This window comes from Homo sapiens, chromosome 3, assembly GCF_000001405.40.
Source record: "Homo sapiens chromosome 3, GRCh38.p14 Primary Assembly".
Lineage (NCBI taxonomy): Eukaryota > Metazoa > Chordata > Mammalia > Primates > Hominidae > Homo > Homo sapiens.
Window position 1 is genome coordinate 23,304,732 of NC_000003.12, and position 25,194 is coordinate 23,329,925.

Consider the following 25,194-nt stretch of genomic DNA (forward strand, 5'->3'; position numbering starts at 1 on the left):
TGCTATGTGGAATCTGAAATCATATCAGTGAACTTTTCATTGTTTTCATTCTTTGTTACATTGAAATCTACCAGCCTGCCTTAATACCGGGTATGCATACATTTATTCACTTATTCATTGGAGTGTGTGTGTGTGTGTAACTTCTATTTTTTTTTCCTTGCACTTTGAGTGAATCTTACCCATGGATGATTTTGTAATATCAAGTATTGGTCATTTGGAAATTATTGGCTCTCTGAAAGATTATGCAGACTTTCCACATGTTGATACATTTCATTATGTGATATCAAAAAGTATCATTTTTAAGTAACACCACCGATCTTAGAAAAATCTTCAAGTCTTTATTGGTGGCAGATACAAGTTTTCCAAAATTCTGGTTTTTGTTTGAAAGGTCAAATTTTATCATTGGCGACAAGTACTGTCATTTTTTCCCATGGGAAAGTCTTGTTCAGTCATTATTTTCAGAAGTATCAGCTGAATAAGCATAGTTTGTCCATCATTGTTTCAATTAAAAATGGCATTCCATAACAGCTAATTCAGCTTGCAGCTTTAACAGGTATACAAATGCTTTCCTTCGAGACAGCCATCGTATTTAGGTATGCAGTAGAAATGCTTTATGCATGCTCAAAGGATGGTTTTTAATACAATTAATAATTTTTGCTGCTTTATCAAGAACAAGTGAAGCTGAATTTTTATTTCTCTTTTAACTGCAGTTAGTACAGTTTAGATACATTGCGGTGATTTGAAATAAGGCACCAGGAGTTTTACCTGCTGTTGTTTTTGCATCAGCAGTATAAATGTCCACTCAGTGAAAATGGTGAATGAGGTCTTAGTTTTATTATGAAAATAGTTTTGACTTCCTTGACTCCCTGAAAAGGTCTCTGGGATGCTCAGAGGGAGGTCCGTGTGCCACATTTGAAAATCATGGTTATAAGCCTTGCAGAGGACAGTGTTTAATGGTCCCCTTTTCTTACAGTTATTAAAATGTAGTAACCATTCTTTTTATTTTTTATTTTTTACAGACAGGCTCTCACTCTGTCACCCAGGTTGGAGTATAGTGGTATAATCACAGCTTACCGCAGCCTGGAGCTCCTGGGCTCAAGCTCTCCTCTTGCCTTAGCTTCCCAAAGTGCTGAGATTACAGGTGTGAGCCACAGTGCCCAAACCCTAACAGCTCTTTTGTTTTATTTCATTTACTTTGGTATTCTCTAAGACTATTATTATGAAACTTTGCTCATTTTTCTAGGCCTTTATTCTCAATTTTATTATTTTGTTCAAGGGCTGACATGACCATATTAACAATTATCCTTAGATGAACCTTTACAAGTTAAGTGGTAGATAAAAAAGGAAGAGACTGAAAAAGTGTTTAAGAAAACATTTACTAGCAACCTACGTGGCCACTGAAATATTTAAAAGAAACTAATTGAAGTTAACTTTTCATTTTATAACAGTGATTGAAAATCAACTGCTTTGTCTGCCCAAAGCATTCTAAGTCTATTCTGTTATTTGAGGAAGTCATTTGACTGTCTGTGTCTCAGTTCTCTGACTAGCTGACATTGCTGTAAATTTGGTATGTATGTCCAGGAATTGAAATAGGCCTCCGTGGAAAGAAATACAATTATTTATTTAAACTCTCTAACAGTAGTTTAGTTGTGGCTTGGATCTAAAGACAAATATTAGCCAATCCAGTCTATATCCCCTTCCCCATGCATTCATTGTGTTTGTAGAAATGGTATATGTCTAAGTATCAAACGAGTTGTATCTATCAAAGACAAAAATATTCTGGTTCAAATTATAGATAACAATAAGATTCCAATCAAAACAAAGAGGTAAATAAATATCTGGTCATGATCCTTTTGTTTATACTGCAAATGTCGATATTGCTTAGTGGCACTGATTGATGATTTATGGCCACACATGTACCCATTGTTTCTGCTTCACTCCTCCTGGTTGGCTTTCTTATAGTACCATTCTTCCATGAGGAATGGCAAGTAAATAAACCAGTTGATACCTACGGAGCAAGAACCACCATTGAACCATGGATGCTGATTTTAGAACCTTGCTCAACTGATGGGTGCATGATGTGCAGAAATTTTATTTGACTATTATTTATAACAATCCAGACAGACCTGTTACTCATTTTTAGATTTTCTTTAAACCAGATTCTATTATTAAACATTAATTCAGCAAGAGATTAAGCAAATCTCAACTGATGACTTAAGGAAAATTGACACATTTTCTCAATATGTTCATAGGAATTCTCTTGTTTAATAATTTAAAGATATTATAGACTTTATAATACAAAAAAGCAACAGACAAGCTGATATTTTTGGTACGATATTATTTATAATTCAAAGAAATGTAAAGAGTATGCTAACTTGGAGATGTTTTGGTTGGAAATGGTGCCCACATTTGATGACTTTCTGCCTCCCTTTCCGTTTTGTCTTTCCATGTGTCTTTTAAAAAATATATACTGTTGCAGTTTCATAGCTGTCAATGTCTTCTCTTTCTGAGGATATTAATTAATAAATTCTTCCTCCCTCTGTATAGTCATTCTTCAAGTTGCTTTTTTCTGACGCTTTCAGGTCTAGTAATCTTTGGTTGGTTGAGTGTATTTAATTGTGGACCAGGTTACTTGAATCTCCTAAGGCATTATTGCTTATTTATATACTGTCCAGCTTCCAAAGTTTATTGCTTTTACCTCTACTCCCTGTACCTCCATAATGATGTATTTATGACGTTTTACAAATTTTGCTCTATCATTTAAATAGGACTTTGGAAGGTAGCAGATGATAGTGTGTATTTTGTTCTCATCTTTACTTGAAATAATTTGCTTATTTAAATGAAAGCATCTAGACAGTAATTGAAACCATGAGTTGAGTTCAGCAAGTACTAAAGTCAATATGATAGCTTAAGAAAATGTTTTAGCAATTATATTTTTATATTGATATAGATCCCATTAAACAGTCATATGGGTTCAGGAGTATTAGTTATGAATTATCACATGTATATTTTAATTAAAATACTATAGGGTTTTAAAATTAAATTATGAATTATTTAAGAATAAGCCTATTTTTATTTACTTAATGAGTTAGGTAGTTCTAATTAGGTAAATGTAAATAGAAGTGACCATCTTAATGCCCTACAATGTAAGCAGTAATTCACAATTTGTAAAGATTTATAGGAGGACAAAATCAGTTTGATCTTGAATATGCTTAAATTTTGCACGCTTGTACATTTCTCCCAACTTACCAAGTGGCACCTTCTAGGGAAACAGGTTTCAAGAATTGTATCCTTAAGTTTTTACCAACTCCCCCCCAAATACTGTAGTAATAAGTGGCTTTGGCTTGAATAGTGGGATGTCCACAAGTGTTAGAATCAGCTATACCTGGCTTTAGATCTTAGCTCCATTACCTTTTAACCATGTCTAAGAAGAACAAAATGCAAAATATTACTGATACCCTTACTTTGGAATTATTGTCAGGATTAAGTGAGATGAAATATGTGTAGTAACTAGAGCAATGTCAGACATTCAGATATTAGTTTCCTTCTCTTATAAGCCCCTATGTAGTTTTTATTTCTTTAGGATGACAGACATGAGTTCTCCCATTATTTTCTCATTGCCTGTGCTTTATTCATATTACCATCATTATCCTTCATTGCGAAGAATCCATTACATACTATAGTGAATTAACAATAAAATTCAAGATGAATTTACACAAAAAGGAGGATATTATTTTTACACAAATAAATATTAAGGTAATGAAAACAGTTTTGCTATTGTTGACAATCATTATAAAATTGTTTACCATGTCTTGTAATTTTAAAAGTTTAGTTTTTATCATTTAAAGACAGGTATTCTTATTAGACACTTGACATCTGTTAGTCTCAAAATTTGCTATGTTTTGGATCGCTTACAAGATTAGCTGAGTGTATTAGTCAGGGTTCTCCAGAGGAATGGAACCAATAAGATATATATACAAAAGAGAATTTGTTAGGGAGAATTGATTCATGCTATTACATAGGTGAAGCCCCGCCATAGGCCATCTGCAAGCTGGAGAATGATGGAAGCCGGTAGCATGGCTCTCTCTAAGTCCGGAAGCCTCAAAACCGGGTAAGCTGACAGTGCAGCTCTCTCAGTCTAAGGCTAAAGACCTGAAATCCCCCAAGAGGCTGCTGGTACAAGTCCCACAGTCCAAAGGCTGAAGAACCTGGAGTCTGATGTCCAAGCACAGGTGGAGGAAAAGATGTACTGTTCCAGAAGAGAGAGAAAGTAAAAAGAAGAGCAAGCAAACTGAATATCCCCCTTCTGTCTGCTTTGTTTTAGCTGTGCTCACAGCCAGTTGGCATGGGCAACTGTTCTAGTTCCTGGCCACTTTGTTCTAGACCCTGCCCACTTTGAGGGCAGGTCTTCCTCTCTCAGTACACTGACTCACAGGGGTGCCTTGTTATATTTCCCAGGCTGGTCTCTAACTCCAGGCCTCAACTGGAGTTGTCATCTTCTCTGGAAACATCCTCATAGACACACCCAGAAACAATACTTCAGCAGCCATCTAAACATCCCTCAATCCAGTCAAGTTTACACCTAATATTAACCATAACACTGAGGGTAGTGAATATAGTTCACATAACATAGTTACAATAGCTTAGGTGCTAGATATTTCAAATACCTCATTCATTCATTGGCAACTACATCATCAGCCGGGCCTGGGGCTATGATGGTGAAGAAATGTATCAGTTATTTATTGCAGCATAACAAGTTACTCCAAAGTATATTGACCTAAACCTTTATTATCTCATAGTTTTGTGGGGTAGGAATTGAGGCATAGGCTGTTCTGTCTTGGGGTATCATGAGGTTGTTATCAAGATGTCTCCTGACGTCTTTCACATTGTATACTGTATGTCAGAGCATCATGTGCATCTTGAATATATATATAATCTTTGTCAATATTACCTCAAAGCTGGGGAAAAAAGATGTCTGCTGAATAGCAGCGTTTAGTCATTTGAAGGCTTGACTGGGGCTGGAGGAACTACTTTCAAGTTAGCTCAGTCACGTTCCTGCCAGGTTGATGCTGGTTTTTGGCAGGAGGTCTCATTTCTTCCCTGTATAGATCTCTCCACAGGTTACTCGACTGCCCTCGTGACATGGTGGTTGGCTTCCACCAGAGCAAACAGTCTAGAGGAAGGTGGAGGAAGATGGAGAGGAAGAGAAAAGGAAAGGAGAAGGGGGAGTCACAGAAGCTATCTAAAAAGAATACTCTCAAAAGTCACATAGCATCAGTTCTGTCACATTCTTTTTATGAGAAGGAAATCACTAAGACGGGCCCATGTTCAACAGACCGAGATTAGACTCTGCTTTTTGAAGGGAGAGATATCACAGAATTCATGGATATATTTAAAAATCACCACAATATAACACCTTTCCTTTCCAGATACTAAGTTTCACAGGTGACTTGAGACTACAGTTACGTTGGTAAGTTTATTATTGTCTAACACTGAATTAGAGTTACCAATTAAGTACCAAAATGCAATGAGAAAGTGATATAAAAGCATTATGTGCAAAAGGCATGCCTTTTTTTTTTTTTTACAAAAATTCTGCTAATTTGGGGTATTTTTGAGTTGGATATCTTACTGTCTTTTCAGATTCAGAAGATTTATAATCAGACTGACTAAACACATCTCCAAACCTTCTAATTTCTTGTTCGTTATTGTTACATGTTTAGACTGAAATAGAGAGGGAAAAGATATTACCAGGTTTACTGCAGTGTGGAAAAGCTGTTGGAGAAGAATGGGGAATGAAAAGGAAAGAGACAAGATTCTTTGGACAAGGCAGAAGGAAGAAGTTGAAGGATTCAAGTTAAAGGATAACCTTGAGCCGGGCATTATGGCTTCTACCTGTAATCTCAAGGACTTGGGAGACTGAGGCAGGAGGATCACTTGAGCCCTGGAGTTCAAGACCAGCCTGGTCAATATAACAAGGCACCCCTGTCTCTATAAAAGTACGTACATGCATGCATACTCATACACATAAAAGATAATGTCAGTTGATGGCATGAGTGTGAAAGCAGAGCTGTGTGAAACATCACTAAGGATAAGATAATAAGGATGTCATTATTCCTAGACTGTGTAGCATGATTTTTTTTTAATACTTTCAGTTCTAGGGTACATGTGCACAACATGCAGGTTTGTTACATATGTATACATGTGCCATGTTGGTGTGCTGCACCCATTAACTTGTCATTTACATTAGGTATATCTCCTAGTGCTATCCCTCCCTCCTGCCGCCACCCCACGATGGGCCCTGGTGTGTGATGTTCCCCTTCCTGTGTCCAGGTGTTCTCATTGTTCAGTTCCCACCTATGAATGAGAACATGCGGTGTTTGGTTTTTTGTCCTTGTGATAGTTTGCTGAGAATGATGGTTTCCAGCTTCATCTATGTCCCTGCAAAGGACATGAACTCATCCTTTTTTGTGGCTGCGTAGTATTCGATGGTGTATATGTGCCACATTTTCTTAATCCAGTCTATCATTGATGGACATTTGGGTTGGTTCCAAGTCTTTGCTATTGTGAATAGTGCCGCAATAAACATACGTGTGCATGTGTCTTTATAGCAGCATGATTTATAATCCTTTGGGTATATACCCAGTAATATATACCAGGTGTATATTTGGCTGGGTCAAATGGTATTTCCAGTTCCAGATCCTTGAGGAACCACCACACTGTCTTCCACAATGGTTGAATTAGGAAACAGTGTAGCTCTCTACTGTAGATGGTTAATAAAATATGGAGAACCATTAGTGTAATCAGAGAGACTTGGGTTGCCAGTGGCTGCTTGTACAACCTTGGTCAGTTGCTTACATTCTCTGTGCTTTAGTTTCTTAATCTGGGAAAAAAAATGGATTGAACTAAATCATTTCCAGTGCTAACATGTTATACCTTTGGAAAGGAACTTAGATATAGTTGAAACAATTTGAATTTCTCTAGTTTTTAGTTTTTATTTATTTAAATTTTTTCTTTTTAAATCGTGGGTACATAGTAGGTATATATATTTATGGGATACAGGAGATATTTTGACACAGGCTTACACATCAAGGTAAATGTGGTATCCATCCCCTCAAGCATTTATCCTTTGTGTTACAAACAATACAGTTATACTCCTTCATATGGTTTGGATCTGTGTCTCCACCAAATCTCATGTTGAATTGTAATCGCCAGTGTTGGAGGTAGGGCCTGGTGGGAGGCGATTGGATCATGGGGAGTGGTTTCTCATGAATGGTTTAATACCATCAACTTGGTACCATCTTCATGATAGTGAGTGAGTTCTTGCCAGATCTGGTTGTTTAAAAGTATGTAGCACCTCCCTCCTCTCTTTCTCCTACTCATAACATGTGAGATGCCTGCTCGCCCTTTGCCTTCTGCCATGATTGGAAGCCTCCTGAGGCCTCCCCCCAAAAAAAAGCTGCTGTGCTTCCTGTACAGCCTGCAGAACCATGAGCTGATTAAACCTCTTTTCTTTATAAATTACCCAGACTCGGATATTTCTTTATAGCAATGCGAGAACAGACTAATGCATGAGATATTTTGATGCAGGTATACAATGCATAATAATCATATCAGGGTAAATGTATTCCTTCCCACAAGCATTTAGATTTGTGTTACAAACAATCCAGTTATACTCCTTCAGTTATTTTTACATGTATAATTATTATTGACTATAACCCACCCTGATGTGCTATCAAATACTGGATTTTTTTTTTTTAATCCGTTAACCATCCCACGTTTCCCCAATCATCCCCCTACCCTTCCCAGCCTCTGGTAACCATCCTTCTGCATTCTCTCTCCCTGAGTTCAGTTGTTTTGTTGATTTTTTATATTGTTTCTTTTGTTTTGATTTCATTTATTTCTGCTCTGATCTTTATAATTTCTTCTACTAAATTTGGGTTTGGTTTGCTCTTGCTTTCCTAGTTAAGATGCATCCTTGGGTGGCTTATTTGAGTTCTTTTTTGACGTAGGCAAAAAAGTACTGCTCTTTCTGTATCCCATAGGTTTTGCTGTGTTGTGTTTTCATTATCATTTGTTTCAAGAAAGTTTTCAATTTTCTTCTTAATTTCTTCATTGACCCACTGGTCATTCAGGAGCATATTGTTTAATTTCCATGTGTTTATATAGTTTTAAAAATTCCTCATTATTGATTTCTAGTTTTACTCTATTGTCATCAGAGAAGATACCTGATACTATTTCTTTTTTGGTGGAGAATGTTTTGAGAATTGTTTTGTGGCCTTACATATGTTCTGTTCTTGAGAATGATTCATGTGCTGAGGAGTACACAGCGTATTCTGCAGCTGTTGGGTGAAATGTTCTATAAATATCTACTAGATCCATTTGGCCTACAGTGCGGATTAAGTCTGATATTTCTTTGTTGATTTTCTGTCTGGATGATCTGTTATATCATCTTGCTAATTGACCCTTTTATTGTTATATAGTGACCTTCGTTTCTTACAGTTTTTGTCTTGAAATCTGTTTTGTCTGATTATAGCTACTCCTGCTGTTTTTTGGTTTCCATTTGCATGGAATATTTTTTTTCTATCCTTTTATTTTCAGTCTCTTTGTGTCTTTATAGGTGAAGTGTGTTTCTTGTAGGCAATGGATCATTGGGTCTTTTTTTTTTTTTTTTTTTGAGGGCATCTCGCTCTGTTCCCAGGCTGGAGTGCAGTGGCGCAATCTCAGCTTACTGTAACCTCTGCCTCCTGGGTTCAAGTGATTCTCCTACCTCAGCTTCCTGAGTAGCTGGGATTACAGGCGCATACCACCATACCTGGCTAATTTTTGTGTTTTTAGTAGAGTCGGGGTTTCACCATGTTGGCCAGGATGGTCTCCATCTCTTGACCTTGTAATCCACCCACCTCGGCCTCCCAAAGTGCTGGGATTACAGGTGTGAGCCCCGGTGCCCAGCCTGTCTTGTTTTTTTAATCCTTGCATCCACTCTGTGTCTCTTGATTGGAGAGTATAGTCCACTTACATTCAGTGTTGTTACTGATAAGTAAGGATTTGCTCCTGCCGTTTTGTTACTTGTTTTCTGGTTGTTTTGTGGTCTTCTCTTCCTTCTTTCCTGCCTTCCTGCCTTCCTTTTAGTGAGGGTGATTTTCTCTGGTGGTATGTTTTAATTTCTTGCTTTTAGTTTTTTGTGTATCTTTGGTATGTTTTTAGATTTGAGGTTACCATGAGGCTTGTAAATAATATAACCATTATTTTAAACTGAAGACAGCTTAACACTGATTGCATAAACAAGCAAACAAAAAGGAAACTAATAACTCTAACTTGGTCTCTCTGCTTTTTAACTTTTTGCTGTTTTTACTTATATCTTGTTGTACTGTCTATGTCTTGAAAAGTTGCTGTAGTTACTCTTTTTGTTGTTGTTGTTACAGGGTATTACTTTGTCACCCAGGCTGGAGTGCAGTGGCACAATTACAGCTCACTGTGGCCTTGATTTCCCGGTTTCAAGTGATGCCCCCACCTCAGCCTCCTGAGTAGCTGGGACCAAAGGTGCACACCACCATGCCTGGCTAACTTTTATATTTTTTGTAGATAACGTGATTTCATCATGTTGTCCAGGCTGGTCTCATACTCCTGGGCTCAAGTGATCCTCTCGCCTCTACCTCCTAAAGTGTTGGGATTACAGGTGTGAGCCACTGTGGCCCGCCATAGTTATTATTTTTGTTGGGTTTATGTTTTTATCTTTCTACTAAAGATATGAGTAGTTACATCACAATTAGTGTTATAATATTCTTTGTTTTTCTGTGTACTTACTATTACCAGTGAGTTTTGTATCTTCACATCATTTCTTCTTGCTCATTAATACCCTTTTCTTTCAGATTGAAGAATTCCTTTAGCATTTGTTGTAGGACAGGTCTGGTGTTGATGAAATCCCTCAGCTTTTGTTTGGGAGAGTCTTTATTTCTTCTTCATGTTTGAAGGATATTTTAACCAGATATGCTTTTCTGAGTAGAAGTTTTTTTTCCTTCAGCACTTCAAATATGTCATGCCACTCTATGCTGGTCTGTGACGTTTCCACTGAAAAGACTGCTGTCAGATGTATTGGAGCTCCATTGTATGTGACTTGTTTGTTTTCTCTCACTCTTTTTAGTATCCTTTATTCTTGAACTTTGGGAGTTTGATTATTACAAGCCTTGAGGTGGTCTTCTTTGGGTTAAATCTGGTTGGTTTTCTATAAACTTCTTGTACTTGAATATCGACAGTCTTTTTCTCTAGGCTTGGGAAGTTCTTTGTTATTAGCCCTTTGAATAAACTTTCTACCTCTACCTCTCTCTCTTTACCTCCTCTTTAAGGGCAGTAACTCTTAGGTTTGCCCTTTTAAGGATATTTTCTAGATCTTGTGTTAGAAAATTTTGGTGCAGCTGAGCTGGCATCAAAACCACAAGACAAACTTCTTCCCACTCTTCCCCTCCCCTTTCCCCAGGCAGAGGAGTTTGTCCCCATTCCATTACCAACACAGGCCCACGGGGAGTACTGCTAGGCTACCTTTGATGTTCATGCCGATTTTCTAGGTGTGCTTCATTTTTTTTTTTTTTTTCATTTGTCTCCTCTGACTGAAAATTTTCAAATAGCCTGTCTTCAAGCTCACCAAATCTTGCTTTTGCTTGATGAATTCTATTATGAGACTGATACATTCTTCAGTATGTCAGTTGCATTTTTCAACTACAGGATTTCTGCTGGATGCTTTTTAATTATTTCAGTCTCTTTGATGTATCTGATAGGATTCTGAATTCCTTCTGTATTATCTTGAGTTCATTCAAAACAGCAATTTTAAATTCTTTTGTATGAATCGTTGCATAACTCTGCCTCTCCGAGATTGGTCTCTGGTGCCTTATTTAGTTCATTTGGTGAGGTCATGTTTTTCTGGATGGTCTTAGTGCTTGTGGATGCTCATTGGTTTTGGGGCATTGAAGAGTCAAGTATTTATTGTAGTCTTTGCAGTCTTTGGTTGTTTGTAACCGTCATTTATGGGAAGGCTTTCCAGGTATTTGTTGGAACTTGAGTGCTGTAATCTAAGTTTGTAGTCCCTGCAACTGTATTTCCATTAGAGGATACCCTAAGCTTAGTAATGCTGTGATTCTTGCAGACCTGTAGAGGTACCATCTTGGTGGTCTTTGTTAAGATCTGGAGGAATTCTCTGGATTACCTGGCAGAGACTCTTGTTTTCTTCCTTTACTTTATCCCAAACAAATGGAGCACATTCTCTCTGTGCTGAGCTACCCTGGAGCTGGTGGAGAGGTGACACAAGCATCCCTGTGGCCGCCACCCCTGGAAATGCACTGGCTCAGACCTAAAGCCAGCGCAGCACTGAGTCTTATCCAGGGTCCCCTGTAACCACTGACTGGCTACTGCCTGTGTTTGCTTAAGGTCCTAGAGCTTTGCCGTCAGCAGTTGGCAAAACCAACCAGGCTTCAGGGTGATGCCTTCCCTTAGGTCCTGTATGGGTCCAGAAGTGCCATCCAAGAGCGAGGGCCCGGAGGTGGAAACCTTAGAAATTTACCTGGTTCTCTGTGCTACTGCACCTGAGCTGCCACCGAAACCACAAGACAAAGTCCTTCCCACTCTTCCTTCCCCTTACCCCAGGCAGAGGAGTCTCTCCCTGGTCCATTGTCACCACAGGCCCACAGGGAGTACTGCTAGGCTACCTCCAGTGCTCACCTAAGGCCAAGGGCTCTTCACTTAGCTTGTGGTGAATGCTGCCACACTTGCAATTCCCCCCGTAGGGCAGTGGTCTCCCCTCTGCCCCAGGACAGGGCCAGAAATGCTGTCCAAGAGCCAAGGCCTACAACTGGCGACCCCAAGAGCCCACTTGGTGCTTTTCTCTATTGTGGCCGGGCACAAGACAAAGTACCCTTAATCTTTCTTCTACTTTTCTCAAGCAGAAGGAGTCTCTCCCATAGCCACCACAGCTGGGAATGTTCTGGGTCATACCTAATGGTGGCACGCCTCAGAGTCTCGCTCAAGGCCCACGGCATGTACTACCTTGGCTACTGCTGCTGATCATTTAGGGCCTAAGCGCTCTTAAGTCAGCAGGTGATGAATCCTGACAGGACTGGGTGCTTCTCTTCAAGGCAGTGGGCTCACTTCTGACCCAGGATATGTCTAGAAATGTCATCCAGGGAATTAGGGCCTGGAATGGGGACCTCAGGACTCTCTCTGGTGCCCTATCCTCCTGTGACTGAGCTGGTATCCAAGTTATAAGTCAAAGTCCTCTTTACTGGTGCCTTTCCTCTCCTCAAGAAGAAGGAAAGGGCCACTTTTGTTGCTGTGAGCTGTGCTGCCTGGAGTTGGGTAAGCATGGTGCATACGCTCCTTTAGCCTCCTTGGCTGGTGTGTCACTAGGTCATGTGTCCCCCCAAATGTGCTGGCTCTGAGCCCAGCACGGCACTAGGACTTGCCTAGGAATTGTTGTCCTTGTGGCCTAGACAGCCTTTCAAGTTAATTTAGAACTGTGGGGGTAAAGCTTGTGAAAGTTCCAGGCTACTGGTATGGGCAGTTCCCCTGTGGCTAGTGCTGGTCTCAATGCCTTCTTCATGGGCATCACCTGAGTTCTGCCCAGCATTGCTTTCTGCTGTGACAGGGCATCAGTGAGTTCCAATGCAAAGCCCACAGTTGGTGTGCTCTCCGTCCCCCAAGTGCACAGATTGTCTCTCCGCACCATGCAGTCTCTGCTGGTGGATGGGGAGGTGTATTAGTCTGTTTTCACACTGCTGATAATAACATACCGGAGACCGGGTGATTTATACAGGATAAAGGGTTAATTGGACTTACAGTTCCGCATGGCTGGGAAGCCTCACAATCAATGGTGGAAGGCAAGGAGGAGTAAGTCACATTTTAACTTGAATGGCAGCAGACAGAGAGAGCTTGTGCAGGGAAACTCCTCATTGTAAACCCATCAGGTCTTATGAGACTTACTCACTATCATGAGAACAGCACGAGAAAGACCTGCCCCCATGACTCAATTACCTCCTACCGGGTCTCTCCCACGACATGTGGGAATTCAAAATGAGATTTGGGTGGGGACACAGCCAAACCGTATCAGGAGGGGTGATGTCTGCAATTCAAGACCCTCTTTCTTACCCTTTTCAGTGCCTCTTTCAGCAATATGAAGTTAAAACCAGGTACTGTGATCGCTCACCTGATTTTTAGTTCTTATGAAGGTGCTTTTTTGTGTAGATAGTTGTTAAATTTGGTGTTCCTGTAGGGACGACAATCAGTGGAGCTTCTATTTGGCCATCTTGTTCTGACTCCCTCTTATCTAGGTTTTAAAAAACAAGTTTCCTCCCTACTTTTTGATTCTAATGGATAATTCCAAGCTTCTCTAGTGTGTTTAATGGTTTTTTTAAAAAGGTATTTATTTATGACAGGGTTTTAAAAAAATTTTTTTTATTAATGAATGAATGACAGGGTCTTGCTCTGTCTCCCAGGCTGGAGTGCAGTGGTGTGATCACAGCTTACTGCAGCCTCAGCCTCCCAGGCTCAAGTGATTCTTCCACCTGAGCCTCCTGAGTAGCTGGGACTACCAGCAACACAGCTAACCTTTCATTAAATGGAAGCCAATAGCAAATCAGATTATACAATTAGCACTAAAGTTGCTATTTAATCAATATATATTTTAAGAAATATATTCATCAATAGGTTATAACTTGAAAGTGTTTATTAGAGAAACAATGTATTGGTCCATTTTCATGTTGCTGATAAAGACATACCCAAGACTGGGTTATTTATAAAGAAAAAGAGGTTTAATGGACTCACAGTTCCACGTGGCTGGGGAAGCCTCACAATCATGGCAGAAGGCAAAAGGCACGTCTATGTGGTGGCAGGCATGAGAGAAAATGAGAGCCAAGTGAAAGGGGAAACCCCTTATAAAAACATCAGATCTGGTGAGACTTTTACTTACCACTTATTCACTACCACGAGAACAGTATGGGGGAAACTGCCCCCATGATTCAATTACCTCCCACCAGGTCCCTCCCACAACATATGGGAATTATGGGAGTTAGCATTCAAGATGAAATTTGGGTGGGGACACAGCCAAACCATATCAAACACTTCCCAAAATTTACAAGCAAGAAAGAGTTAAAATTGGAAATATATCTGTGTAAATAACAATCTGCCTATACATTGTCTTATAAATTAATTTCTCTTTACATAGTTTTGAGTATTATTTTAAGATTGCATCTTTTCCAGTGTTCCTTTTGTCAAAAAATGTTTTCATGAGGAAGGAGAATGTTGTGTGTTTAAGAAGCCAATGTATATTAAATTGAGAGAAACTGAGAGTCTTTTACTTTTACTTTATAGGCAGTAAAGTATTTACAAACCATGACTGCTTATTTAAAACCGTAAGCCAAATTTGTATTGTAGTTAATCCAAATTGATCCTGTTAAGTGAAATTGGTTAAAATCTGGTTTTATAAACTTTTTAATTTTATAAAATAAACAGGAAGGAATTGTGTTTATTTATTTATTAATTTATTCATTACTCTCTTGCTGATGTTCTCTTCGGTCTGAAATGGACCTGGCTGTTCTTCTAAAACTTAACATTCTTAGTGAGAACAGTTATAGGTGAACAAAATCTCCTTTAATGTTTTAGCTTCTACCTCTGTGAAAATGTTGTGTGTGTTAGCTTCAGTAATACGCTATGTTTTGTTTTCATTTTATAGTTTATATAGTGTTGATTGTGTGCCAGATACTATTCTGATTTCTTTTATTTGTATTAACAAATTTAATTCTTACAACAATCCTGTGACCAAAAGCTATCCTTCTCTACCAGGCATGGTGGCTCACGCCTGTAATCTCAGCAGGCAGATCATTTGAGGTCAGGAGTTCAAGACCAGCCTGACCAACATTGTGAAATCCCGTCTCTACTAAAAATACAAAAAAATTAGCTGGATGTGGTGGCAGGGGCCTATAGTCCTAGCTACTTTTGAGGCTGAGGCAGGAGAATTGCTTGAACCTGGGAGGCAGAGGTTGCAGTGAGTGGAGATCGCACCACTGCACTCCAGCCTGGGCAACAGAGCAAGGCTCTTTGTCAAAAAAAAGAACAACAAAAAACAAAAAACAAAAAAAAACCCAAAAAACCAAAAAACAACTATCCTCTTGTTGACAGATGGTTCTTCTCTGGCATCAAGGCTGATAGCTGTGTCATGGAACATAGCTGAGATCCCTAAGATCTGGCTAGCATTGGTAGTTTTTCCCCAGTGGTGGACTTAGAGAATAGTTTTCTTTCAAGAAGGAGACTTGTCACACACCCACTGCAGCCACCATATGTGAAAGTCTCCTGCCCATGGGAAAGCCAGGCTTTACTTGAGTGATTACAGTGCCTAGTGTAAAGGTACCCATGTAGAAAGCTGGGGGTTGTCATAGTCATCTTTCTCCCCTTAGTTTCTCACATTCAGTCGCAGGTACTACTGTTCTTTCAACAGTGTTTCACTTTATTAGTCCCTTCTTCCCTGTGTCCATTGAAGGAGTTCAAGTTGTTATTATCTCCAACTGGATGTGCTTAAGCAGTAGCCCCTGTTCTTCTTTCCTCTTATATATTACTCCACTCTAATTCTTTGCAAGTTGTAGGCTTGAATAGCCTTTTTCTTTCTTAGTAATGACTTTATTAAGATATAATTCACATACCATACACTTCATTCAAATTGAATAATTCAGTTGGTACATGCACAGAGGTGTGCAACCATCATTCTGGAAAGAAATCCTGTATTTTTTAATAGCAGTCACCCCAGCCCTAGGCATCTGCTAATCTACTTTGCCTCTATAGATTTGTCTGTTCTGGGCATTTCATATAAAAATAGAATCGTCTTTTAGTTAACATAATGTTTTAAAGGTTCACTGTACAGAAAGGTTACGTATTTGGCCTGGGTTCAGCCAAGGGCTTGTAGCACAGAACATCCCTCTGATTGTTCCTCGGAAGCTGCGACCTTGGATTTGTGTATAGTCTGGACTACTAGGGATTATTGTGGCTTTAGCTGGACTCTTTGATTAATCCACCCCGGCATCCCCCATCTCCTGTTAAGCTTTTGACTAGTCTGTGTCTATTGGTATCATACTCAGCTGTTTGTCTCCACTAATTCCTAACAGTATTAGTTTCCTAGGGCTGCTGTAACAAATTACCATAATCTGGGTGGCTTAAAACAACAGAAGTTAGTGCCTCACAGTTCTGAGAACTGGAAGTCTAAAATCAAGTGTCTGCAGGGCCATTCTCCTTCAGAAACCTTTAGGGAAGAATCTTACCTAACTGGTCTGGTGTTTGCCAGCAGCCGTTGGCCATTCCTTGGCTTGTATCTGCATCACTGCAATCTCTGCCTTTGTATTTACACAGCATTTTTTCTCATGTGTCTGTGTCTTTACATGGTGTTCGCCCCTATATGTGTATGCCCAAATTTTCCTCCTCTTACAAGGATATCAGTCATACTGGTTTAGGGTCGACTCTGATTAACTTACAGATTTGGGAAGGGGATTAGGACTTCAACTTTTTTGGGAGGGGCTGGCACAATTCAGTCCATAAAGAGCTTGTTCTTTACCAGCTGTGCCACTTGGATCTACCCTGCAGAGCAGGACCTGTGTGTATACTTGTTTGTGAAGACGATAGAAACTGATGTTGCCATCCAACTCCCGGCATCTAGTAGGGAGAGTCAGAGTGGCAAAACAGGCATTGCCTGGCTGCCGCTACTACCTACTTGGTACAGGTCTTCTGTAGCATGGAGCTTTGGGAAGCAGTATCTGCTGATGTTCACCAGCTGCTAAATCTCCTAGGAATAGCTCTTCTACTCCTGGGACCTACAGGAGATGAGAGCTGCTACTCAACTGACCCCACTAGAATAGCTCTTCCATAACACAGAGTTGTGGGGGAATGGGGGTAGTCTCTTATCTCGAATGCCATGGCTTCCCACTATTATGACTGAATTTCGATAGATTTTGTTGAATGAATGTTTTACAATTTGTTGTAAGCCCTCTGATCAATCTCCAGAGACTGAATCATTGTCTTTGCTAATTTTTGCTGGTTTAATAAGTGTTGGAGAGAAGAGATTTATCCAAGCTCTTTATACTCCCATTCTAGAAGTCTAGCCCCTTGAACCGTTTTTAAAAGCACCACCTTCCAGTGTAGAGATTGGGATGACATATAATTCATCAGGTAATTTATGCCGTAAGAGAATGATTCACATTAGTGTCAATGTTATTTTTCAACATACTCAACTGCTGTAAAGTTTTATAATCCTTTGTCATAAAAATAGAAATTATTTTAAAGTTTAATAGCCTGCTTTTTGTACCATAAACAAAACATAGAAGAAAAACTTAAGTGGTTAGAGAAGAATGCTAATAACCTTTCATTCAATGAGTGAAATTATTCTTGAAATATTTAGTAAGTTATATAACCAAAGTCTTCCTTTAGCTGGAAGCTGGAATTTTTCATAGTGAACTTAATAGTGCATCTCTTTCATGAGTATTTATTTGATGTAAATGTCACCATCTGGGCTGCAAATTTTCTCTTATTCAGTTAGTTGAAAGGGTCGGTAGGATACCTTTAAAACTTTAAAAAACTTTAAATACATTTAGTGCCTGCACTTAATAATTTGTATCTAAGCTGAGTTCAAGATGTCTAAAACTGGAAGCTATGAGAAATTTCTGTTTTTCCTCCCAGTCTAACATACTGTTTTTTGGACAGAATCCCCATGTGACTTGATTAATGATAAGGAATAATCACAAAGTATTTTAAAAATTATTTTCTGTAAAGCTTCATAGTCTATATCTTAAGATGGTAACTATCTCTGTGTATATGTTCATTTATTTTAATAATGCTTTTATTATTTTAGAGATGGTTTGAACCTTATATTTTGTTTAGTCCACCCTCATCATTTTGATGAAGTAATTAAGTCCAGAGAGCATGTAACTTCGTAAGCTTTACAGTCTAAGGTTACATATATAACTCTAAAGGAAAGAACAAAAACCATAATACTTCCAAAAATCCCTGAAGCAGTGCGTAGTATTTTTTCAGAAAGCTTTCATAAATACAGTGTATTTTCTCTATAATTTAATATTATCATTATTTTGTCTAGCATTAATTTGGTATCTATAATAAATAATTGATTTTAGCCTTAACTTAGCTGTAGAGTCCTAAGGATTATATATTTATATATTTTTTCTATTAGACAGGCATTTTCTTGTCTCCTTTCACAACATACGTGGTTCAGTAAAACATAAAATCACTTGTCAATAGTTAGTATTAATATAAATATATAATATCGTGTCTATACATTTCACTTAATTTTTGAATCCATGAATTAGGAATTATCTAGATTTATTAGGCTTAAACAAATAATTATTTGCTTTGTTTTGTGCTGTACTGTTGATAAAGAAGCTGTCTATATGTTATTATATTTGATCCTCACAACCACCTTATGAAGGTAGGTTGGACAGCTTTTATTATTTCTGTTTTATTGATGAAGAATCAGGTTTGGTGTTTAAGTAAATTGCCTACATTTTATAACTTTAATAATTTGCTCCTATAGTTACCCATTTATTTTTATGTTACTGGTTAGTCATGGTAGTACTTACTGTCTTGTTTCTTCTAGGGAATACAAAAGTCTTGATTTTTATTCTAGACGATTTAAGAAGACCAATTTGGGTCATTTGGCATGACCCCAGGGCTAGCTCAGGTGTAAGTAATACGGGGTGAGCATCCCAAATTCGAAAATTCAAAACACTTTGTAATTCACAACTTTTTCAGCACCAACATAACACTGAAAGGAAATGCTCATTCAATTCTCAATTGGATTTTTGGATTTTGGATGCCCACTAGGTAGGTATAATGCACATATTTCAAAATCTGAAAAAATAAAATATCCAAAACACTTCTGGGGTTAAGCATTTCAGATAAGGGCTATTCAACTTGTGTAAGTTAAACTTCTCTGAATGCCAGGATTCCTTTTTTTCCCTTTTAGCAAACTCCTGTCCTTATTTTAGTTTTAGTTCAATGTCACCTTCTCTGTGAAGGCTGCCGTTTTTCACAGGATGCAGAAATCTCTTATTCCCCTGTGCTTTCTCATAGCACTTTTGTACTTGCCTCACTTGGTACAAGTATTATTTGTTCATGCCATGATTGATTATTGAGCTCCTTGAAGACAAAAGTTGTGATATACCTCTTCACTTCTCCATGGCCTTGAATTAACCATAATGGAGCTCAGTAAATGTTTTTAAAGTAAATGAATGAACAAATGGTACATGCTTGATGTGTGTCTGTAAACTGTATAAGCCAAACATTGTGTACTCCCTGTTTCTGGAATAACTGTGCAATGCTAAACATTTCTTTGACTACTTACTATATGATGTCTGCTGGTTTTTGCTGCATAAATATTCTGATATCTTCAGTTGGTGCTTAGCCAGTTTATTCCTGTTCCACTGCATCACTTATGATTATTTGGGACCTGGATGAAGCAGTTTCATTGTAATGTTGTATTAGTTGAATCTGTGATTTTATAAAATACGAATTAAATTTCTTATAAAATGAAGTTTGTCACTCATATTTGTCTAAATTTGTTTAAAAATAAAAATCCTAGCTAAACTCTTGCCTATCCCAGAAATGAATTTAAGGACCGTATTCCTTATGAATTATGAAGGGAATTTAAAAGGGAAGCATCCAGGAAGGTGTAATTAGTGTCTGGTAAACTGGCTCTTGTGTTTTCTCTGCCTTTCCTCTCTTTCTTTTACCAGCTACCTGTAGACCATTTCCCTGTTTATTAGCTGCAGTACCAGAAGGTGGAATAGGAAATGAAGTTTACATCCTTCAGTTTTGTTATTTGTTAGCTGATTTCTTAAATTTTAGGTGTGAAGAACTATAAAAAAGTTAGGTTGTTTGTGCTGCATCCTTATTATTTTTTGTATCCTGTTATCACAGGCATTGATGACTTATGTATAATTGAGTAAAGCTGCAGGAAAGAAAAGCACTTAGGAAATGCCTCTTCAGATTTTCAAGATCTTTTCACACCTCTCTTGGAGAAAAGAATTTAAAAAAAAAAAACCTAAATGGATTCTAATTATTTTCTTTATCTGTGGTATTTTGTTTTGTTAAATAGTGTGTTATATAATGAATAGTGGAATTGGGTTCAGTTGTGAATTACAGGAAGTGACACATATGATAAAGATTGTGGTTTTATGTCTGTTCAACAAACCACAGTGGAACTGAAATGAAACTATAAATATTTTAACTACACCAATTGCTTTCTGCCGCCAAGCAGGACTAGTCCTAATGAAAACTAGATAAGCTGATACAAAGTTGTTGAGAAGCAGTACAGAATATAGGTCCTTATGTACCATCAGGAAACTTTAGCAGTTTTGAATCTTCTAGGCACACATTACTTTTGATCAGTAAGAAACAATTATTAGGTTATTTTACTCTTTTAAGAATTGAAGTAGCCACAATAAAGCTATTGTGTGTTTTTTTTTCCTTTGGGACAAGGATTTAGATTTAATAATAAAATGTGTTTTGTATAGTAAATATTCATGAAACAATTGAAAAGCAAATAAAAACATTCAATTTGTGTACTCTTTTCACAATTTACATACTAATCTGAGGCTGGGCTGGAGGAGAAATATATTCCCACATTATTCACTTACCAGGAGTATACCATACTTTCAGAAGCTTTTTCTTGACTAGTGATGACTCTTAAGATTTTACTGTTAGGATTTGAACACTTGTAGGTCCTTTAGTATACAGAAAACATTAGATATATTTAATGGGATAGCATAAGTAATTTCCATTCTCATTCTTTTCTTGAGTTTTAAAGTCTAAACCCATAGACTTACACACTTAGTCTTTGTCCACTAGTCAGAATGTTTACACTTTGCTAAGTAGTTATGAACGTCCTCTCCGGTGTATTTGTTTCATTTTTCACCATGTGAGGCTTGACTGCTTAGTTTGTGTGAGAGAATGTGCTACTGTGAGAAATATAATAGTGAATATCTAACCCCTCCGTATCACTGACCTTCGGTCTAGTAGAGGAGAGACCATTATAAAAATAACTAGGGAGCCCTTATATCCTAACTTCTCTTATCCTGGCAAAATTATCAATATCACCCTTTTTCACTTTCCAGTGTTGTGGTTTGGGTGATGAGTGATATAGTCACACTGTGAGTAATGAGGGGAAAGAACAAATATTTTTAACCTGATACTTTTTCTGAATTCATGTTTAGGTGGTAGAGGATACCATTTGATTCTTGGAGACTCCCAAATATAATTTTCTGTCTCATTTTGACTTCTTGTAGATACATGCTTTGTAATCTTTTATTTTTATTTATTTATTTTTGAGGTGGAGTCTTGCTTTCTCGCCCAGGCTGGAGTGCAGTGGCGCGATCTTGGCTCACTGCAACCTCCACCCCTGGGGTTCAAGTGATTCTCTTGCCTCAGCCTCCCGAGTAGCTGGGATTACAGGCGCCTGCCACCAAGCCTGGCTAATTTTGTATTTTTAGTGGAAACGGTGTTTCACCATTTTGGCCAGGCTGTTCTCGAGCTACTGACTTCAGGTGATCTGCCTGCCTTGGCCTCCCAAAGTGCTGGGATTATAGGCTTGAGCCACCGTGCCTGGCCATCTGTAATCTTTTAAAAAGGAAGAGAAGGGTACCAATTATCTGGCTTTTCAAGATTTTTCAAAACATTTTTTGAAAAATTTCTGAGTTTTTGGAATTAACCCTTTGAGCAGCTGCTGAGATTTTTATGTTCTTAAATTGGTTAGATTAAAAGAAACATTTAAGATGTGTCTGTCCCTTGCCTTTTTCTAAATAATTTATGATTAATGTCACATATCCTATACAAAAAAAAGTATGAGGTTGTATGTAGTTTTGACTTGAGATTTTCCAGAAGTCTTTTAATGGCACATAAAGGTTTTTTGTTTGTTTGTTTTTGTTTTATACTTTAAGTTCTTGGGTACATGTGCACAACGTGCAGGTTTGTTATATATGTGTACATGTCCCATGTTGGTGCGCTGCACCCATTAACTCGTCATTTACATTAGGTATATCTCCTAATGCTGTCCCTCCCCACTCCCCCCACCCCACCACAGGCCCTGGTGTGGGATGTTCCCCACCCTGTGTCCAAGTGTTCTTATTGTTCAATTCCTACCTATGAGTGAGAACATGCGATGTTTGGTTTTCTGTCCTTGCGATAGTTTGCTGAGAATGATGGTTTCCAGCTTCATCCATGTCCCTGCAAAGGACATGAACTCATCCTTTTTTATGGCTGCATGGTATTCCGTGGTGTTTATGTGCCACATTTTCTTAATCCAGTCTGTCATTGTTGGACATTTGGGTTGGTTCCAAGTCTTTGCTATTGTGAATAGTGCTGCAATAAACATACATGTGCATATGTCTTTATAGCAGCATGATTTATAATCCTTTGGATATATACCCAGTAATGGAATGGCTGGGTCAAATAGTACTTCTAGTTCTAGGTCCTTGAGGAATCACCACACTGTCTTCCACAATGGTTGAACTAGTTTACAGTCCCACCAACAGTGTAAAAGTGTTCCTATTTCTCCACATCCTCTCCAGCACCTGTTGTTTCCTGACTTTTTAATGATCGCCATTCTAACTGGTGTGAGATGATATCTCATTGTGGTTTTGATTTGCATTTCTCTGATGGTAATGGCACATAAAGTTTAATCTGCAATACGGAATCTGATATACCACCCCTTTCCTCTCACCATCATCTACTCTATTTTACTAACATGAAACTCCTTAAGCAGCCTTTTAACTAGGACAAATACTTGTATCAACCAATACAGAAAGATTATTTATTGTTCTTATAGGCAGGTTTGTTTGTGGCTGCAGTTAGTATTAGACTGTCACTTGGGATGTTATTCTGGAATTGCTTTTTCTAATTCTTTCAGTGAAGGTATGTGACTCGTTCTCTTTTTTCCTTTTGCAAAGCAAAGGCTCGACAAAATTTTATAGACTGGTGAAACATTTTGCAGGTCTGAAAAAAGTGTTGTAAACCTGCTCATGAGGTTCAGACAAAACTTCTGTGCATAAATTAGGAGTTGGTGTTGTCTAGGAGTTTGTGAAGATTAAGTTTTTCAGGGTTCTGATTTCATGAAATGTCATTCTAGATTTCTGTCAATCTCAATTATAGGATGATAGAAGTATGCTGATTTCTCGCTTAATAATTATGTAGTATTTGCAATAAGTATACAATAAGAACTTATGTACTTATTGTACATATTATATGCAGTATACAATAAGTATACTTATGTTGTCTTATTACCATAAACAGAGCAGTGGTCATGATATATAAATACTGAGGAAATCAAATGTTTTCTTTTTTTGTGATCTAATATGAAAATCAATGCAACATTTCTGGATAATTTGCGACAATAAAAAAGAAAAGAAATATGAGGCATGCAGTAATCTTGACAAGCAAATTTCCTAATTTGCAAAATAAAAAATTACATTAGATAATCTCTAAAAAGAACCTTCTATCTCTGTGTCATCTTTGAATCTATAAAATACAGTTGGTCCCTGACTTACAATGGTTAGATTTAAATTTTTTTGACTTTATGATGGTGCAAAAGTGATAAACATTCAGTAGAAAATGTACTTCAGTGTGGTATTCAGTGAGTTACAGGAAATGTTCAACATTTTATTTAAAATAAGCTTTGTGTTAGATTGTGCCATATTTTGCCCAACTGTAGGCTAATGTAAGTATTCAAGCATGTTTAAGATAGGCTAGGGTAAAGCTATGATGTTTTAGTAGGTTAGGTATATAAATGCATTTTTGACTTTGGATATTTTCAGTTTATGATGGCTTTATTGGGATGTAACACCATTGTAAGTTTAGTCACATCTGTAGATTCATTTAGCTAAAATGCCGTAATCTCTCTCTCTCTTTTTTTTTTTTTGTTTTGAGACGGAGTCTCGCTCTGTCGCCCACGCTAAGTGCAGTGGCGCGATCTTGACTCATTGCAACCTCTGCCTCCTAGATTCAAGCGATTCTCCTGCCTCAGCCTCCTGAGTAGCTGGGATTACAGGTGCCCGCCACCATGCCCGGCTGATTTTTATATTTTTTGTAGAGACGGGGTTTCACCATGTTGGCCAAGCTGGTCTCGAACGCCTGACCTCAAATGATCCGCCCACCTCGGTCTCCCAAATTGCTGGGATTACAGGCATGAGCCATCGTGCCCGGCCTAAAATGCCTTAATCTCGATAGGCTTTTTGCACATGCACTATTTAAATTGAGTACAATACTCAATACTTACGCCCTTGCCCCCTTCTCCCTGGATCTTATTTGCTAAAGTAGACATTGATTTCTCTTGAAAATGTAACAAAATTTTTGTTGAACATTTTAGTGTTTAGTGAAAAGATGAGAATTCTCAGACATGAATTTTTTATTTGATAATAGGAAACTGTAGTTATAGGGGAAAGTCAGTATTTTGAAAAGGCAAACCAAATAGGCAAATATTTATGGAGTTTCTAACACAAGCAAGGCTCCCTCTGTCAGAATGGACATCAGGAAATGTCCACTGAGTGAACATTCAATAAATTTTATCAGTTGCTGTGGGGGATAAAATTATATATAATTTTCGCTTTATAGTTTGTTTTGAATGTTCTGGAAACAGTTAAAAGTAAATGAGTGTTTATATTTTGCCGAAGTATCAAGACAGAATAGTAGGCAGACAGTTGGTATTTAGGCAGGCAAAAGGGCAGATTCTCTGCCAAATGGTTGTAAATGAATTGACGCAAGGAATTTAAATATTAAGCTTTGATGAGAGATTGTTAAATTTTCTCAATATTATTGTTTCCATTGGTATGCAAGCTAATTAGATACAACAACTAATTGGAGCCGGTGGCTCAGACTGGCTTGCCACCATTGGCACACACACTGGATGGCGGCACAGTTGTTCTGATTGTTGGCTAGGAAGTCTTCCATCAAGGCTTAGCTGTAGTCTTATCTGCAAATTCCTCCTGGTCTTCTCTGGAGAACGTTGCCGTACATGGGTCTTTGGAAACAAGGAATTTCCCAGGAAATCCCCACCATCTTTACTGTCTGTGATATTAATACAATTTGTACTCTTCCCTTTTAAAATATTTTAGTGATCTTAAAACTTGACCACTCTGGAAGAATGGAGAAGTTCTGTATTTGGCAAGAATA

General features: G+C 38.1%; 1 protein-coding gene across 7 annotated transcripts in view, besides 1 other annotated feature; it reads left to right on the forward strand.

Moving 5' to 3' along the window:
• The window catches only part of UBE2E2 (ubiquitin conjugating enzyme E2 E2), a 388,828-nt gene that overhangs the window by 101,634 nt on the left and 262,000 nt on the right, over positions 1-25,194 (forward strand). The gene's annotated exons all lie outside the window — the stretch shown is intronic.
• Positions 15,326-15,455: an enhancer, noted in NCBI's record as "active region_19594". NCBI's record gives its function as "activates an Ori minimal core promoter by ATAC-STARR-seq in GM12878 lymphoblastoid cells {active_cell/tissue: GM12878}" and the evidence as "EXISTENCE:reporter gene assay evidence [ECO:0000049][PMID:35858748]".